We start from the raw sequence: 18,646 nt of genomic DNA, 5'->3' as shown, positions 1-18,646 counted from the left end.
CTGCCATACAATGGGTGCATGAGGGCTCTCCACAGAAACAATGGATTTTATACATATGTGTGTACATAAAATATGGAAAGAGATTTTTAGGAGGGATTGGCTCATGTGATTATGGAGCCTGAAAAGTCCCACAGTCCCATCTGCAGGCTGGAGGCCCAGGAGAGTGAGTCATGGAGTTTCAGTCCAAACCTGAAGGCCTGAGACCAGGGAACCAAGGGTGCAAGTCCTAATCTGAGTCTAAAGTCCCAAGAACCAGAGCAGCAAGGTCTGAGGGCAGGAGAAGATGGATCTCCAAGCTCAAGGGCAAAGAGTAAATTCACCTTTCTGCCTTTTGTTTGATTTGGGCCTCAAGGATTAGACAATGCCTACCCACATTGGTGAGGGTGACCCTCTTTACTGTCTCCTGATTCGAATCAGTGTTAATCTCTTTCAGAAACACCCTCACAGAAACATCCAGGAATATTTTACCAGCTCTCTGGGCATCCCTTAGCCCAGTCAAGTTGACACATAAAATTAACCATCCAGGCTAGGACAGTGGCTCATGCCTGTAATCCTAGCACTTTGGGAAGCCAAGGCAGGGTGATCACTTGAGCCCAGGAGTTCAAGACCAGCCTGGGCAATAGAGCAAAAAACCCAATCTCCACAAAAACTTAAAAAATTAGCTGGGCATGGTGGTGCATGCCTGTAGTCCCAGCTACTTGGGAGGCTGAGGTAGGAGGATGGCTTGAGCCCAGAAGGTCAGAGGCTGCAGCGAGCTGTGTTCGCACCACTGCACTCCAGCCTGGGAAACAGAACAAGACCCTGTCTCAAAGAAAAAAAAAAAGTAGCCACTCACAGTGGGTATAAAATGGTATCTCACTTCAGCTTGATTTGCATTTCACTGCAATTTAATTTGCATTCCCCCTCACTAGTGAGGCTGACTTTTTTTCTGTTTAGGCCCTTTCTACTTTCATTAACATTTAAATCAATGGCTCCTGACATAACAGGAAGAAATTAAAAGGCTTCCTATATGGCCATCTCTGATAGTTATGGCTCTACCTGTCAATCCAATTACACCAATGTTCTAAGTGCTTCTGTAGTGCCAGACCTTGTGCTAGAAGCTGTGGGGCACACAGAGGTAAAGAACCCTCATTATCTAGTGGTGGTGACAGAAACACACACTACACTCCATGCAGAGTAATTCAAAGAGCTCTAGAGACAATACAGAGTACCCTGGGAGTAGAGGTAGAGAACCAGCTGGAAGTTACGCAGAGCAGGTGACCTTTGAGGGAGGCTAGTAGTTATATGGGGACATAGAGCAGGTGTAGCCAGAACAGGCAAGGGAAAGCGCAGGCTAGAGCTGCAGATAACAGGTTCAGGGTCTGGCAGGGGACTGTGGGTCTAGTTACAGGCCTTGGGAAAACCTCAAAGGCTTGAGACAGGGAAGTTCAGGCAATAAGAGCCTGGCTCTAGTGGGAAGTAAACTGGCGGTGGAAAGTCCAGTTAGGAAAGTGTTAGAACATCTCAAGACAAGGTATTTATTAAGCGTGTAGACAGCATTGCTTGACGGCATGTGAAAATGTGAAGTCCCAGGAATTGATGCAGCAGACCTAAAAGCTTCCATTTGTCAGAGATGAATGGGAGGCTGCACTGCGAGGTAACTAAGAGGTAGCGCCTTTGAGGTCACAGACCCAACTCTGGCCTCAAAAACGTGATGCATTAACTGGCTGTGTAATCCTAAGAAAGTGACTTACACTTCTGAGCCTGTTTCTCCATCTATAAATGGGTACAAAAGCACCTTCTCTAATAGGATTGTTGTAAGGATCACATCAGCCAGGGTGTGTCAAGCACAGTGCCTGCACGTGTTGCAGTAAACACTCATTTAGCTGTTGTTATTACTAGCACCCTGCAACTACTTACCACAAAAACAAGTACAAACTGGGAAGGTTTTTGGTAAAGATTACATAAAAGAGGAGTTTCTGCTTAAAAAGTGATACCTAAGAAGATTAAGTGCATGTGAATGCATAATCTGAACATGGTAATCAACATTTCTGGAAACATTTATTGACCATCTATGTGCCTGATACTGCCAGAAGATGGGAAATGGCAATGAACTGATTAGTTCTTCTATACTTAAATCAGCATAGCATCATTGGAGCCTACTCAGCAGCTAGCTTTTCAACACAATATCAGAGATCTACTCAATACTCTTGCAAAGACTCCCAAGACCATCATTCAGTAAGAAGGCACACGTGGATATTATTAATGCCTTTTAATTTTAATGTTTCACATTGTTTTGTTTTTTTTCAGAAGATTTGTAACAAAAATACATGGAACTTAGTATATGTTTCAATAAAATGGGTAAATACAGAATCTGAACAAGACAAGTCTATAAGATATAATCCTTCTTGTGGGGATAGAACATTCCACTCCACTAAGAAAAGAGAATCACAACATGATTAGGCCTGATTATCTCATACCGCCTACTGTTCTAATTTCAGAGACTGGTGGACTTGGAGAAAAAAACAAATTAAAAATAAATAAATAAAACTGAATATGGTCAACTGCCTCAATTGCTCTCTCCTTTTCCCTTTTCCCATTTCTTTACACAGCCAAATGAGATGAGGACGTGAGGCAGAGCCCTGTGGGGGACGGTCAGGGGCTCTGCTGCCTAAATGCCAGGCAGATGCATGGGTTCCCTGAGGTGGCCCAGAAATGTATTTTGACCACTCAGTGCTGCAACTGAGAAATACAGGTAGAGTAGCAGGAATGAAAAAGAAGCTTCAAGAACTGCTGGCAGGAGGCCTGATGTCCACAAGCACGTGTTCAAAACTCAACCTACACAGTTAGAAAAGACAGCTGAGATAGAATCCTCAGCCAGTACATTGACAAACACATAACTGAGGCATTAATACCTCTTTATAATAATGCAAGTTGAAATGCTAACAAAGCATAAACACTTCTGCAAAAATTCCACAAGGCACAGTTGTTCATTCAACAGAAAAAGTCAAAACCACTTGGTTTTTAAATGAAAATCCTTCACATCCACCTGTGTTCAAAATATTAATAATAACTTATGATATTAATAACTTCCTTTAAAAAGCAATTACCACAAAACAGCTAAATCATAAGCATGAAAAGACTTATTTTCCTACTAATGTAGTCTTAGAAAGAAATAGATACCCAATGTCATTATTTTTTTTAGCATAAAGCTAAAGCTACCAGAAAAACTTTTAAACAAGTTACGTGTTTTCCATTGCAAATGATCTCAGCTTGCTTAGACCAGCACACAATAAACTAAAGACAGAAAGATATGTACTGTTTCTCCCCCATTTCTGGTGTATGTCTGCCTCCATGACAAATAATGGTGAGAATCATACTATACTACCAAATGCCAGGCAATGGCTGGCCAAGTAGCCATTTCCCTTCCTAAACAGACCTTAAAATAATAATCATCCATCATGTAGCACACAGGGGCAAATTTGGCTAGAGTTGATCGCAGATGTACTTGTTTTGGGAATATATGAGAGAAGAAACTGCTGAGCAGGTCAGTAAAGAACAGTCCATTTCAGCTGCAGGACAGTTCTCTTTCCCGGGACAAGCCTACATAGCCTCCAAGGGAGCCAAACTATCCCTTCCATGCAACAAGACACCTTGCATGGATACTCTAGCCATGACTTGCTTTTGGACAAAAATCAACTGCTAACGTTTTTCATCTCTAATATCATTAACACCATGGAGAAAAAAGAAAAAAATTCAACCCTAGAAAACTTGACAACGAGAATAAGAAAATCCACAAGGAAAGGTCATGCTAAAACTGATTTGACAGTTGTTCCATCACCGCCTACCACATGGGCTTGAGACTGGTGACTTCATGGATGCATCCCTTCGATGCCCTGCCAAATGTCAGCTTCAAGTCTGTCAGTGACCCCAGTGTGATGCTGCCTGCCTTCTATTCACCAACTCCTATCCAAGAGATCCAAGGGGGCCTTGGGCGGTGGTAAGCACAGGACACGCAGGTGCCAAGAGCCCAAGAACCCTCTAGAAAACTTCGCCTTGGATTTGGGCACGGAAACGAGCCAGTGGTTTGCAGTCTTGGCAACAGCATCCACACTGGGGCTTAACCTCAGCAGCCAGCCTGGAGGATGCTTGCCCCAGAGCGCTTGGTCACAGACAATGTTGTGAATACCTGCAGGGGAAGAGAAAGCACAACATCTTCAGATGCCTGAGCAAATGAGGTAACAGGGAACAGTTCAGATAATGCCATATGCATTAAAACCATCTTAGGCGACTACCAAAATGAATAAAACAGAGAAGTAGTATGATCAAGGATATCTTCTATTTCTCCAGAGAATAAAAGGGGGAAGACATTTTAAAACCAAGATGAAAGAGAAAAAAAATTTAGGTTATATCTACTGAAGAATTTTGTTAGCATGAGGATGATTAAAACAGATCAGGTACCCACAGGTGCTTGTCAACCCTCTAAAAGAAATTCACCATAAAATATTTTGGATATAAAGAAGGGTATAAAGTGCCCAGTTAGCCCTGTGTGTGCCACCCCATTGGCCTTTTCCTCCTTTCCCTCCACCGAGTTGGTCTTATCATTCCTAGGCATTTCTTCCTGCATTTCTCTTGTTTTTTTAAGAAGCTTTACCTGCAAATGGCAAGATGATGTAGATTCTTTTGTTACCCTGCTTTTTTGTATCCCATATGGATACAAATAGCTAATTCTTCCATTTTTTTCACTGAATGGAGTTCGAGTCAATCACTATAGTATAGAACAACACATACAGTGTAGTATATATGGTGTATATTGTAGTATTCAATTATTCGACTAGTGAATATGAATCACACATTTGGGCTCCTTCTGCTGGCCATCCAAGCTGTTGCCAATATGCTCTTTGCAATACGATGCTGTGACATTCCAGCACATCTCCTTGCACACAGAGCTGGAGTACAACTGCTGAGTCAGAGGGCAGGTGAAACTTTGGCTTGACTAGATTTTCAAGGTACCTGAACCAACCTATACTCTCATTTGCAGTGACTAACAAGTTCTCCTTGTTTCATATCCTTGCAAACATTTGATGGTTGTGGACTTGACAGTTTTAGACAATCTTTACTTGCTACTGCTCAAGATTGCCTGTACGTAAAAACAAAAATACTTGTGAATAAGGGGGAAAACAGTTTTGTGTAAGGGAGGAACAATACTGAGAAAAGTCTTTAGTCTGTTTTAGCCTCAGAGGGTGACAAAGCCTTTACTTCTCAAAAAAATCCAGACCAAATACTAATGGCCAGTATCTTAAAAAGTTTTAAAATACAAATGCATTAGAAAATATGGATAATTCATATCCAAAAAAAAAAATCATTATAAGAAGAAAGAGGCTCATCATTGTTAGCAAAGATATGCTAAAATCCTTGAAATCGTTATTTTATTATTATTTTTATTTTTGAGACAGTCTCACTCTGTCACCCAGGCTGGAGTGCAGCGGCACAATCTTGGCTCACTGCAACCTCTGCCTCCTAGGTTCAAGCGATTCTCCTGCCTCAGCCTCCCGAGTAGGTGGGATTACAGGCACCTGCCACCATGCTCGGATAATTTTTGGATTTTTAGTAGAGACAGGGTTTCACCACGTTGACCAGGCTTGTCTCAAACTCCTGACCTCAGGTGACCCACCTGCCTCGGCCTCCCAAAGTGCTTAGATTACAGGCATGAGCCACTGTGCCTGGCCAATAGTTATCCTTTTTATACTCATTATAGAAAAAACATTGACACTGAATTTTGCAACATTTTAATTAGCACTCTTATATGCAATGCTGGTGACATTATAAACTAGTACAACTTTTTTGGAAAGGCAATAAAATTCCTTTGTTTAAAAAAAATGTAGGAGTACAGATGAGGACGGGGAAACAATACATGATAATAAAAATAACTGTGTTAGAAAGGGGTATTAAGGGCAATTCAAACATGCTTTCTTTTCCATTTTTATAATGAGGAAAAAAATAAAGAGCCAAAGAATACATTTAAACAAATTCCAGGCTTATCAATTTGCAAGCCTGGGTTCTATTTCTCAGAAACTGATTTAGAAATAGAACTTGTAGGAGATGTGGATACAAAACTAAATCCACCAAAATGAGCTCTTATCTGTTTTTTCTCATATTGATGTTGTTCTTATGTTAAAAAGATGGAGGAAGCCAAACTGCCATCGTTGATCAGTCTAAATAAAAAACTGGCCAGGCACCGTGGCTCACGCCTGCAATCCCAGCACTTTGGGAAGCCAAGGCGGGAGGATTGCTTGAGCCCAGGAGTTTGAGACCAGCCTGGGCAACATAATGCGACCCTGTCTCAAATATATATATATATATTAGCTGGAAACAGTGGCATGTACCTGTGGTCCCAGCTACTCAGGAGACTGAGGCAGGAACATCGCTTGAGCTTGAAAGGTCAAGGCTGCAGTGAACTGAGATCACACCACTGCACTCCAGCCTGGGTGACAGGAACCCTATCTCAAATAAATGAAAAAAACTGCTTGGGTCAATTGACAGATTTCATTCGTACACAACTGTTTTAGAATTTTTATAAAAACATGTATTTTTAAAAAATGAGCAGAAGGGGCAGCCTCCATGCCCTTCCATCCCAACACACAGGACTCGTACAAGGGTCAGGAGCTGCTGGAGGCTTTCCACCTCACATACTCTTATCTGTCCCCACCACTTCCAGCCGCAGAAGGCTCCCTCACTTTAGAGTGGGATTATATTGACTATTAAATTAAAAACAAACAAAAAACACAAAAACTTTTAATATTTGGCACTAAAATTCATTTAAGACATTACAAGGAAGTATTTTCAAATGTTTTCCTCTTGAACTATTGTTTTTCTCCTCTACAAGTGAACTTCATAACTATGTGTAATCCGTTTCCTACTCAATGACTGCGGCTCAGGTGTTCAGAATAAATGACCACCAACCCCATCTCACACTGAATACGGCAAATGCATTGCTAATGCCCCAGGCGCTGAGAATCCCTCTCACACAGGACAAACAAGAGTAGCCTCTCCTCTTACAGCAATTCTAGAATTCTAGTAATTCCCTTTGGAAATTACTTTGCTAAGGAATTTGTCAACTTTTGTAAGTAATTACTCCTCAGAGTCAAAGACTGCTCTCAATTGCCCAGGATTTTTACCAAAGTGAGTCACTGTGCCAGCCTACCACAGCTGGCTCTGGAGCTGCAGCTATTTTTGAGCACTCAGTTTAAAGTAGTACTCAGGACTGGTTTAAAAATTATTATTATTTCTAATTCATCCACTGGACTAACACTTGTGAAATTCACTGACAATGTACTGGGGAAATGAAATTTTAAAAGGCATGTAAAATTAAAACACCATTGTTTATTACTAGATCAGTCACTGTCAAATTATTGTTAAAATTTCTAAACTTTCTTCTTCGTTTCTAGCCTTCTATCATTATGGACTAATAACAAACATTCTGTGGACCACTTCTGAACCGCATTCCCCACAGAATATCACATTCCCCACAGAATATGTCTGGACGATAAAAACAGTGGGTCCAGTAGCAAATCCAAATACTATCCAAGTCAGAACCCAGCATTTGGCAGAGAAAAGAGTTCCTCCTATGAACCCCTAAAAGACTTCCTTGGGATAAATGCCCAGTTAAGTAGTGGGATTGCTGGATCATATGGTAGCTCTATTTGCAGATTTTTGAGGAACCTCCATACTGTTGACCACAGTGGCTGTGCTAGCTTACTCACAGAAGTAAAAAGTAGAACAGAGATTACTAGAGGCTGGTAAGGGTTGGGAGAAGGAGATAGGGAGAGATTTGTTAAAGGATATAAAACTACAGCTAGATAGGAGGAATATGTTCTATAGCACCTTAGGATAACTACAGTTAAACAATAATGCATACTTTCAAATAGCTAGAAGGATATGGAATGTTCTCAACACAAAGAAATGGTCAATGTTTGAGATGATTGATAGGCTAATTACCCTAATCTGATCACTATAAACTCTGTGTTTCAAAACATCACTATGCACCCCATAAATATGTACAATTATTGTGTCAATTAAAAATAATTTTTTAAAATGTCCATAACCAGGAGTTTAAAGCCTTTGGTTTTTCAAAATCCAGTATCAACGCAAGTAGTTCACAACCAGGGTTTAAAAAAAAAAAAAATCACTGGAGCTTTTTCACAATATGTATCTCTCTCCAACCCCCATTAAAAATACTGGCATGATGACCTTTCAGTCCAGCCACATCGTCTCCCCTCCCAAGCCACAGCCACATCTATAATATCCTGGGGAAAAAACAGCTAACAGGTGCAGCTATTCGGCATCTATTAAATGCCAGGAACTCTCCTACACACTTTACAGGTTGCATTTTAATCAACCCTACAGTTAGATATTCCCTTATTTTATTTTACTTTTTTTTTTATTTGAGATAGAGTCTCGCTCCAGGCTGGAGTGCAGTGTCGTGATCTCGGCTCACTGAAACCTCCACCTCCCAGATTCAAGCAATTCTCATGCCTCAGCCTCCTGAGTAGCTGGGACTACAGGTATGCACCACCACATCAGGCCATTTTCGTATTTTTAGTAGAGACAAGGTTTTGCCATGTTGGCCAGGCTGGTCTTGAACTCCTGACCTCAGATGATCTGCCCACCTTGGCCTCCTAAAGTGCTGGGATTACAGGCGTGAGCCACTGAGCCAGGCCATTTTGTTTTATTTTTTTTTTTTGAGACAGGGTCTCACTGTCGCCCAGGCTGGAGTGCAGTGGCGTGATCTTGGCTCAGTACAACCTCTGCCTCCTGGGTTCAAGTGATTCTTGTGCCTCGGTCTCCAACATAGCTGGGATTACAGGCATACGCCACAATGCACAGTTATTTTTTTGTTATTTTTGGTAGAGATTGGGTTTTGCTATGTGGCCAGGCTGGTCTCAAACTCCGGGCTTCAAGTGATCCACTCGCCTCAGGCTCCCAAAGTGCTGGGATTATAGGAGTGAGCCACCACGCCTGGCCTCTTACTTTATTTAATGTGGAAACTAAGCTTCTGAAAACCTGGGTGGTATGGCCAGGTCTCACTAAGAGGAATTGGCTGAGTGAGATTACAACCCAGGTCTGTGTGTCTCCACTACATTCGTGTTGCTACCAAGAATCATTTCCATTTTTAAATTCTATGCCAAATATGGTAGGACAGTCTGTGGAGATGAAGTATCAGCTGCACAATGTGGTGCTTTGGGGTCTGGGCTGCCTGGGTTTGAATCCCAGCTCGGCCATGACCAGGCTGGGTTACCATGGGCAAGTTACTCAACCTCTTTGTCCTTGGTTTCCTCGTCTGTCAAATAGATATACTACCGCATCCACCGCATGGGGTGCTCACAACGACTAAGTTAGTCAACAGGCAGGGACACAGTACCCAGCACACAGCAGGCCCTCACACACATCAGTGGTTTCGTCCTCGCTGTCACCTCGAGTCTGCTCTTGCTATTACTTCCTGCTGCAGGACACAAACCTGAGTGGTCTTCAGCTCTCCCTCTTCCCATTCCCAGCCAGCTGCCAAGTACTATCAACTCTGCCCTCAAATATAACCGTGTCACTCCATTTCCACTGCCACACCTCCGGCCACTATCATCTCCTCTCATGCACCTCACCAGCCACATAACTGGATCTGCCACTTCACTTGCTCGCTCAGTCCCGCTTCCACGGTGCAGCTGGAGGAATGTTTCTGAACAATGTACCTGATCATATTACTCCCTGCTTTAGACCTTTTGGCTGAATCACAATGCCCCAAAGGCAGTCAAAATACCCTTCCTTAGTTTACAAGACCATCACTTACCCACCTGTTTCTCCAGCATATATATACAAAAAAATAAAAAATAAATATATATTTTTAACTCTCTAAGCTCTTTAAGCTATGCCAATATTGAGGGTCTTCTTCAGTTCCTTGAATGAGCCATCCGCTTTCCCACCCAGGCCTTTTGTACAGTGTTCTCTCACTAGCTAACACTCACACATTGTTCTAGTCTTAGGTAAGAACTCCCTCCAGAATCATCCTGCCCCAACATCCTACGATATTGTGAAATGAGAAGAAATATGTATTTGGTCTTCCATCCTGTCCCTGGTTCCTGGCAAGGGAGCTTCTAAAACCCTTGGAATTTCCCGAGTGACACTAGTGAGATGAGCATCTTTTGCTATTCATAATGAGCCCCTTTCAACCACACCTGAGCTTATGCTAATGATGTGACTCTTGGTGGGGCCCTAGATAGCTTCAAGATGGCAGCTGGTTGCCAGAGGAACCAACCATGTCATCAGAGGTAGAATTTTTAGCCCCAGTTCTGGTCCCCTACATCTGGGGAGGGAGCAGGAGATTGGGTAATTACCAATGGCCAATGATTAATCAATCATGCCTACATAATGGGACCTCTATAAACACCCCTAAATAAGGGGTTTGGAGAACTTCCAGGTTGGTGAATATCAAGGTGCTGGGAAGATGCCACACCTAGAGAGGACATGGAAGCTCTGTTGTCCCCCGCCTCCCCACAACCACCTTGCCCTGTGTATCTCTTCCATTTGGCTGTTCCTGAGTTGCAACCTTTATAATAAACAAGTAAATATAAGTAAAGTTTATTCCTGAGTTCTGTGAGCCATGCTAGCAATTTATCATGGGAACCCCTTGACTTTATAGCTGGTAGGTCAGAAGTACAGGAGGCCTGGGCTTGACACTGGCCTCTGCAGTGGAGGCAGTCTTATGGGAATGAGCCCTTGCAGGATCTGATGCTAACTCCAGGCAGCTGGTATCAGAATTGAGTTACATTAGAGGTCACCCAGCTGGTGTCTAGAAAGCTGGAGAATTGGTTGTTCTAGACAATTGGTTGTTTCTAGACACCCAGCTGGTGTCTAGAAAGCTGGAGAATTGGTCGTGTGAGCAAAACCCCCACAAATCTGGGGTCAGAAGTGCTCTGTGAGTAAAAAAACAGATCACAAGAATCCCTGAGGCAAAGACCACAAATGTGGCACCCCAGTGCCTCCAGCACTTTATATCTACCCTGATCCTAGGACCCGTCAGGCAGAATTGTTAACTGGCACATCACCTAGCTGCCTCCTCTCCTCCTAAGCTTATCTCAAATCCCTGCTGTGTCCCCAGTGTCCAGCACGGCACTGTGTACACAGCTTGAGAAGTGTGTTCACAGAGTGCGATTTCACCCAATTTTTTTTATCTTCTTAATCAGCCAACAGCTTGGGGAAAACAAAGTATCAGAGTCCTATCAAAGCACCAGAACATTCAGCCTCTGAGCTTCAACATCATAAGAGGACCAACAGATGGAGATGCACAGCCTCAAATGTGCCAGGCATACCAAGGAGAACAGGCCTTTGGCTGACCTCCCCACAGCCATGGGCTTCAGGAGACGTCCTGTGTCCTCACTGCATCCTTCTGCTCAGCTGGCAGTCACCCTGCCAGATGCTGCCATGTACGCTGCTGCTGGATCACAGCACAATAGCCTCCTGAGGGGGTCAGAGGCCAGCACACAGCAGTCTTTCAACAAGCCCACTGAGAGCTGAATTCAGACAAAAAATTAGACACTCATATACAAAAGACAATAAAATCGTCTTTTCCTTCGTCCCTATCAAAAATGGCTATTGAAGCTTGTGAGTATCTTGAAATGGCATCTACATTTTTAAATATACTCACTATTGTGGGTTGAATTGTGTCCCCATAACCCTAAAAGGCATGATCAAGTCGTAACCCCCAGTATTTGTGAATTTGGAAATAGGGTATTTGCAGATGTAATCAAGTGAAAATGAGATCATGTTGGATTAGAGTGGGCCCTAATCCAATGACTGGAGTTTCTTTATAAGAAAGAGGAGGGAAATTTGGACACAGACACACAAGGGATGAGGCCATGTGAAGAGGGGGGCAGAGATTAAAGTGATACATCTGCAAGCCAAGGAACGCCAAGGATTGCCATTGCTACTAGAAGACAGAAGAAGAGGCAAGGGAGGATTCTTCCCTAGTGCCTTTGGAGGGAGCTTGGCCCTGCTGACATCTTGAGTTTGGACTTTTTTGCCTCCAGAACTGAGAGGGAGGAAATATCTGCTATTTTTAAGCCACCCAGTTTGTGGTACTTTGTTACAATAGCCCTGGGAAACTAATGTACTCAAGAAAGCAAAGTTAATTGGCTCCTTCCCAACACAGGCAGTTTGAGTCATTACACTGAATAAAAGATCTATTGCACATTAAAGGCATTAATCAAGACTTCAGTTTTTATATTTTTTTGAAGCTTAATTCTATTTCCGTCACAAAAACAGCAGCTTTCTATAAATGAAAGAAATAAATGATGCCCTAATCTCTCAACATGTTAATATTTTAGGCTTATATCCCAGCCAGGTGCCTATTAATAGAGGAGGATTCTCGATCACAGAGAAGACAAAGCAAAAGAAAGCTAAAATGTTTTTCCAGGTCTTAAAGCTGACATTCCACATACTCAGCAATGAGTTCAGTTGTACAAAAGCAACCATGAACAGACAGAACAACCAGTCATGGAGCTGCTGGATGAAATCTGGCAACAATGTGCATATGTGTGTGTGTGCGTGTTTGCAAGTGCAATGTACACCTTGGAAGCCACTGGCTACAACAGATAATCACTGCAATTTTCAACTCCATATATAAGCTGGTATAGTATGACGTGCCTCCTCCCACACCTTCCCAAGTTCTCCAATATAAACACATTTTTGGCTTACCATTCCTATGCAGTTAAGTATTACAATATTCAACTCTTGGATGATCACTGGTAGCGAAGAAACACTGACACCCAGAGGCCTAGATTGGTCAATTTCTAGTTCTACTGTCATTTGATCTTTTGAAAGCATCATTTTCAAATCTCATTCACTGATACCATAAGCTGAAGAGGCAGACAGTATCAATTAGCCTCAAGATAGCTGTGGAATAACTAAGATTGAAGCTCTTCCATTATTAACTGATTGCCATGAAAATAATTTAGAAGATATGATAAATAAAATATTTAAGGCACAGCTCTATAAATCACTCTCATAATTTTTACCACTTAACGACATGACGGAAGCCTCCAGTTCATACCATGAGCAATCAGTATTGAAAGACAAAAACTAATTTTTAGAGACAAAGCCCTCTTTTGAGGAATCATCATCAAACTCAGGGTCCTACATCTGCCATGTATAAGCTGGGTGGTGTGCTTCTATGTGGCACATTTTAAACATTTTAAACTGTATAAGTGTAGATGACCCACCTCTGCACAGACAGGGTGGATTCCAATTGTGCTGTCCAGCTGCTTTTTGGTCAGTCCACATTTGAGCGCAGCTGCAAAGCCTTGTGTAACTTCTCCAGCATTTGGACCCAGTACGTGAAAGCCCACAACACGTTCCTAAGGCAAAAAAAAATACAATAATGCAATTAAGCTGATTTTTCTCCCCTCCTCTTCCTACACAGCTTAGAGCATTTCTCCAGTCTGTTTCTTAAAAATCCAACTCAAAAATGACCAGAGACTGGCCGGGCGCAGTGGCTCACGCCTGTAATCCCAGCACTTTGGGAGGCCGAGGCAGGTGGATCACGAGGTCAGGAGGTCGAGACCATCCTGGTTAACACGGTGAAACCCCGTCTCTACTAAAAATACAAAAAATTAGCCGGGCGTGGTGGCGGGTGCCTGTAGTTCCAGCTACTTGAGAGGCTGAGGCAGGAGAATGGCGTGAACCCAGGAGGCAGAGCTTGCAGTGAGCCGAGATCGTGCCACTGCACTCCAGCCTAGACGACAGAGCGAGACTCCATCTCAAAAAAAGAAAATGACCAGAGACTTTTTTTTTTTTTTGAGATGGAGTATTGCTCTTCTTGCCCAGGCTGGAGTGCAATGGCGCGATCTCCACTCACCGCAACCTCCGCCTCCTGGATTCAAGCGATTCTCTTGCCTCAGCCTCCCGAGTAGCTGGGACTACAGGCAGGCGCTACCATGCCCGGCTAATTTTTTTGTATTTTTAGTAGAGACGGGGTTTCGCCATGTTGGCCAGGCTGGTCTCGAATGCCTGATCTCAGGTGATCCACGCACCTCGGCCTCCCAAAGTGCTGGGATTACAGGTGTGAGCCACCGCACCTGGAAAAATGGCCAGAGACTTTAATGACTGCTGCTAACAGCTACTTAGGCTAAAGACTCCCCAACATGAACCAAAACATAGAGTATGATGTTCACTTCAAACAGGAACAAAGAGACAAGGGACAGCTACAAGTGTTTACTCAATTTTATGAGAAAAAATACAAAAGGCAAAGATGCCTACAAGTCTTTAATCACCAAAATGTTCTGGAAAATATTATCAAAGGGCAGGGTGTCCTCACGTCCTGTATTTGATCATCTCAGCTCCACAGAGGCTATCTGTAATAGCTGGGACCCTTAAGAGTAGTCATTCAAATTAAAATTTTGACTGGGCATCATAGCTCAAGCCTGTAATCCCAGCACTTTGGGAGGCTGAGGCAGGAGAATCACCTGAGGCCAGGCATTCAAGACCAGCCTGGCAACATAGGGAGACTCTGTCCCTACAGGAAAAAAAAAAAAAAAAAAAAATTAGCTGGGCACAGTGGCTCACATCTGTAGTCCCAGCTACTTGGGAGGCTGAGGTGGGAGGAATGCTTGAGCCCAGGAGGTCGAGGCTGCAGTGAGCTATGATCACACCACTGCACTCTATCCTGGGTGATAAAGTAAGACCCTGTCTCTAAAAAATAAAATACAAATAAAATTTTAAAAGTAATTTTAAATAAGGTTTTGAGGATAAATAGTGCAAGACCATTAAAGTCTGAAAACATTTTTGTTTTGTTTTGTTTTTAATAGACATGGGGTTTTGCCATGTTGTCTAGGCTGGTCCCGAACTTGTGAGCTTAAGCAGTTCACCCACCTCGGCCTCCCAAAGTGCTGGGATTACAGGCGTGAGCCACTGTGCCCAGCAAAGTCTGAAAACATTTTTGAAAGCAAAAGAAAAATGTCTGGCACTCTAAAATACCTGTGTAGAAATTATTTTGGATAAATTTGAAATCTCAAACTCTGGCTACCTCTGCCAAAAGCAGAGAAATCTGATGCACTCTACTGTTGAGCTGATAGATTTTCAGCGCAGACTCTGACTAGACTATCTAGTGCAATCTCGTCATAACAGATGAGGCAACTCAGGCTGTGGGGTGCAGAGCTTGTCTAAGGTTCCATCACTCCCTGGAAACAATCAGGAGGTTGTTCTGTTGACAAAAGGACTGTAATATATTGCATATGGTACTCTTACACATATTCGCCCTGACGATTCCGGGTTTATGGTATGAATAAAGCGTATCCATAGGAGGAACTACTAAAAAGCACTTAAAATAGATTTCCATGTAATAATGTGGAAAGGGTCTCAAAAAACAAGAGATTATTAAAAAGTTGCAGAGCTCTACATAATGAGGATGCCACCTGCAATTAAACCACGAACACTGTATAATGTGTATGCATTCATAAATAGGTGGCAAACATAAGAACGTAAGCATGAGACCCTTCGACTTCAAAGTTTTACCTTTTGAAGTGAAGGAAGACAGAAGACTGCATAGGCATAAGATAATAGTTAATAGCATGGTATCTACATTGTGTGAGAATAAATGTACAGATCTGCCCTTCCCTAGGTAAATGATTTGAGCACAGTTACTTAACTTCCATGTGCTTCAGTTTCCTCATCTATAAAAAGGGGGAAACAATAGCATATATACCTCACAGGACTGTGTAAGGATTAAATAAGTTAATACCTGTAGAGCTCTATAGTGCCTGGTACACAGTAAGTGCTCAATAAATATAAGCTGTTATAAACTGCATATATGATGGTTTATCTCTTATAAGAAAAAAGCCCTGAAACAAATACAGCAAAAATGTTAACATTCCTTGACTTTGGATGGTGAGTACCTTCTTCATCTTTATTATAAATATTTTATGTAAAAAAAAATAAAATAGCAGAGAACAAAAGCCAGCAGATAATAAACATTGTAAGTACAATTTAGAATCAAGGACATTTAGACACTGAAGTCAAGTGACTGATTCAAAATGAATAAAGCACGCCCCAGGGATAGTGAAGTTCTACAAGCTTTTACCTCAGATTACTCATGACAAAAGAGCAGTAACAGATATTCATCTTCTCTATTACTATCTTTATCTATGAAAATAACCGAAAACACTGTCACCCTACTTATGACCTCAACTACTGACAGGTTTATTGGTAGGAAAATTATTTTCCACATTATTCTAGCAATGCCATTTGAACAAATGTAACATTGAAAAAAGAGCAAAATACATATGGTTAAAATGGATTTGCTTGGTAGGAAGGAAACCTTCAAGGTTTCACTGACTGCTATGAGCAATTGAAGTCTCTCTCAGTGAGACAGGGGCAGTTAATATACTGCCAGTGAGAATGGCTGACATTTTCTCCTTTTGTCTGCAGTAAAAGTGATATCTAATGTATACTCATATAAATAAACTTTTGAGAAAATTTGCCTAAAAAGAAAAAGACAACTATATATACAATTGTTATTTATGTTAGCTGTGTAGCTCATTATGGGTTATCCTAGTATATTCATTTGAATCTTTTTTGCAGAGGATTCAAGAAAATGTTTTCTAAAACCCTTGGTTTTACCAAAAAACCAACCTGTAACTGTCCTACTGCCTAAAGCAGTAGTTTCCAAATAGGATACATGGCTTAATTATATTCAAATTTCAAGATTAAAACATTATCAGTTTACTAGGCTTTTAACATACAGATTCTTTAACATCATTTATATTTTTACTGAGGTCGTTTCTTTAAAAAGTGTTAGCTAAGTTAAAAAGATCAGTTTTCTTAAGAGTCAATATTAAAGAGAGTGTGTGTATATGAATATACCAGTGTCCCACAGTCAAAAAACTTTAAAAAATATGAATTATCCAATCCCTCATTTCATATATATGGAAAAAAACCCTGTGAGGTATAGAGTTTGCTCACAGGCTTTCACAGGTTTCTGCTAAAAAAGTACTGTAATAGGCCGGGCGCGGTGGCTCACACCTGTAATCCCAGCACTTTGGGAGACCAAGGCAGACGGATCACCTGAGGTCAGGAGTTCGAGACCAGCCTGGCCAACATGGTGAAACCCCGTCTCTACTAAAAATACAGAATAGCTGGGCATGGTGGTGGGTGCCTGTAATCCCAGCTACTTGGGAGGCTGAGGCAGGAAAATCACTTGAACCTGGGAGGCGAAGGTTGCAGTGAACCAAGATCACGCCACTGCACTCCAGCCTGGGCAACAGAGCAAGACTCCGTCTCAAAAAAAAAAAAAAAAAAAGGACTGTAATATATTGCATATTGTACTCTTATTCACCTGGACAGTTGGGGGTTTATGGTATGAATAAAGTATATCTGTGGGAGGACTACTAAAAAGCACTTAAAATACATTAGATTTACACGTAATAACACCAGACTAGCATTACATGTAGCATCAGGCAATGAAATCTTAGAACTCAATTAAGAGCTCTTTCTTAGTAGTGCCAGCTGCTGAGGATCAAACGTGCATTGCTCCTGTTCTTTTTTGTTATTCATTATATTTAGATAGTCGATGACTTTATTGTTCCTCTTCTATAAACACAAACATAGACAGTTCTCAAGTTGTGCCTTTGGTTCCTTCACTCAGTAAGTTTTGGCTGCCTGTTGACTAAGTGTAGGGCCCTGTGCCAGTGAAGATGAGGGGGCAGCAGGCAGTGCAGCCAAGGTCCTTGCCAGCTGCTGATATCTATCAGCTGAGACAACTGGCACGCGAAATACTGAAGGAATGCCATCTGCACCATGTGACCAACTAAGCTATATATTAAAAACTAAAGCCGGGTATGGTGGCTCACGCCTGTACATTCCAGCACCTTGGGAGGCCGAGACAGGCAGATTACGAGGTCAGGTGTTCAAGACCAGCCTGGCCAACATGGTGAAACCCCCGTCTACAAAAATTAGCCAGTGTGGTGGCGCAAGTCTGTAATCCCAGTTAGTTGGGAGGCTGAGGCAGGAGAATCACTTGAACCCGGGAGGCGGAGGTTGCAGTGAGCAGAGATAGCGCCACTGCACTCCAGCCTGGGCAACAGAGCAAGACTCCATCTAAAAAAAAAACAACAACAAAAAACAACAACTAAATAAAATTACTGGAAAGGATTGAGAATTAAACTTACATTGTCTTTAGTATTACAGATTATTTTTGCATAACATTTGTTGTTATCTCTTGACGGAATCGTCCATTCCAATGGCCAAAAGTAACTATGGTAAACCTAAGAAGATACAAAAGCAAAATTTAGACCCATTATTTTAAACATTAAGTCTGTCAAACATATATGGTGAAAGACAGTAGAGACTCTTTAATAAGTAGACTTTCATTAAATAATAAAATTCATGGAATAAATAGGAATCTGGTCAAAAGGTAAATGACTTTCAACTCCTTGCTGTCAGGCACTTTTGCTATAAGCTCATCCCTTAATTATGTATATCTCTACCTCAAAATAGTACACCCTAACTAATAACAAAAAAGAGCAAGGGAATGACAGAAATAAGCCATTTAATTACCTGCTGTCATACATTGAAAACACACACACACCCAAACTCAATACTATCTTGTTATCCACTGTGAATGACA

General features: G+C 41.9%; 1 protein-coding gene across 7 annotated transcripts in view, besides 3 other annotated features; it reads right to left on the bottom strand.

Moving 5' to 3' along the window:
- The window catches only part of TXNRD1 (thioredoxin reductase 1), a 134,529-nt gene continuing 118,096 nt past the window's right edge, over positions 2,214-18,646 (bottom strand). For all 7 annotated transcript variants that reach the window (NM_001093771.3, NM_001261445.2, NM_003330.4 and 4 more), the window contains 3 exons: positions 18,189-18,284; positions 13,248-13,382; positions 2,214-4,168 (listed from right to left, as the gene is read on the bottom strand). In NM_001093771.3, coding sequence (NP_001087240.1) covers positions 4,100-4,168; positions 13,248-13,382; positions 18,189-18,284 — 300 coding nt within the window. In that variant the 3' untranslated portion in view covers positions 2,214-4,099. The remainder of the gene's footprint in view (positions 4,169-13,247; positions 13,383-18,188; positions 18,285-18,646) is intronic.
- Positions 8,767-8,936: an enhancer, noted in NCBI's record as "experimental_23864 CRE fragment used in MPRA reporter constructs". NCBI's record gives its function as "activates a minimal promoter by MPRAs in K562 erythroleukemia cells, with activity observed for the introgressed 12:104737448 variant allele {active_cell/tissue: K562}" and the evidence as "EXISTENCE:reporter gene assay evidence [ECO:0000049][PMID:34662402]".
- Positions 9,201-9,445: a silencer, noted in NCBI's record as "fragment chr12:104736854-104737098 (GRCh37/hg19 assembly coordinates)". NCBI's record gives its function as "represses an EF-1alpha promoter that drives an FKBP-Casp9 reporter gene in an ReSE screen in phorbol 12-myristate 13-acetate-treated (for megakaryocytic differentiation) K562 erythroleukemia cells {active_cell/tissue: K562(+PMA)}" and the evidence as "EXISTENCE:reporter gene assay evidence [ECO:0000049][PMID:32094911]".
- Positions 11,536-11,705: an enhancer, noted in NCBI's record as "experimental_23854 CRE fragment used in MPRA reporter constructs". NCBI's record gives its function as "activates a minimal promoter by MPRAs in K562 erythroleukemia cells, with activity observed for both the introgressed and non-introgressed 12:104734679 variant alleles {active_cell/tissue: K562}" and the evidence as "EXISTENCE:reporter gene assay evidence [ECO:0000049][PMID:34662402]".

Source organism: Homo sapiens, chromosome 12 (assembly GCF_000001405.40).
Source record: "Homo sapiens chromosome 12, GRCh38.p14 Primary Assembly".
NCBI classification, from domain to species: Eukaryota; Metazoa; Chordata; class Mammalia; order Primates; family Hominidae; genus Homo; species Homo sapiens.
This window is presented reverse-complemented; position numbering and strand designations above follow the sequence as displayed.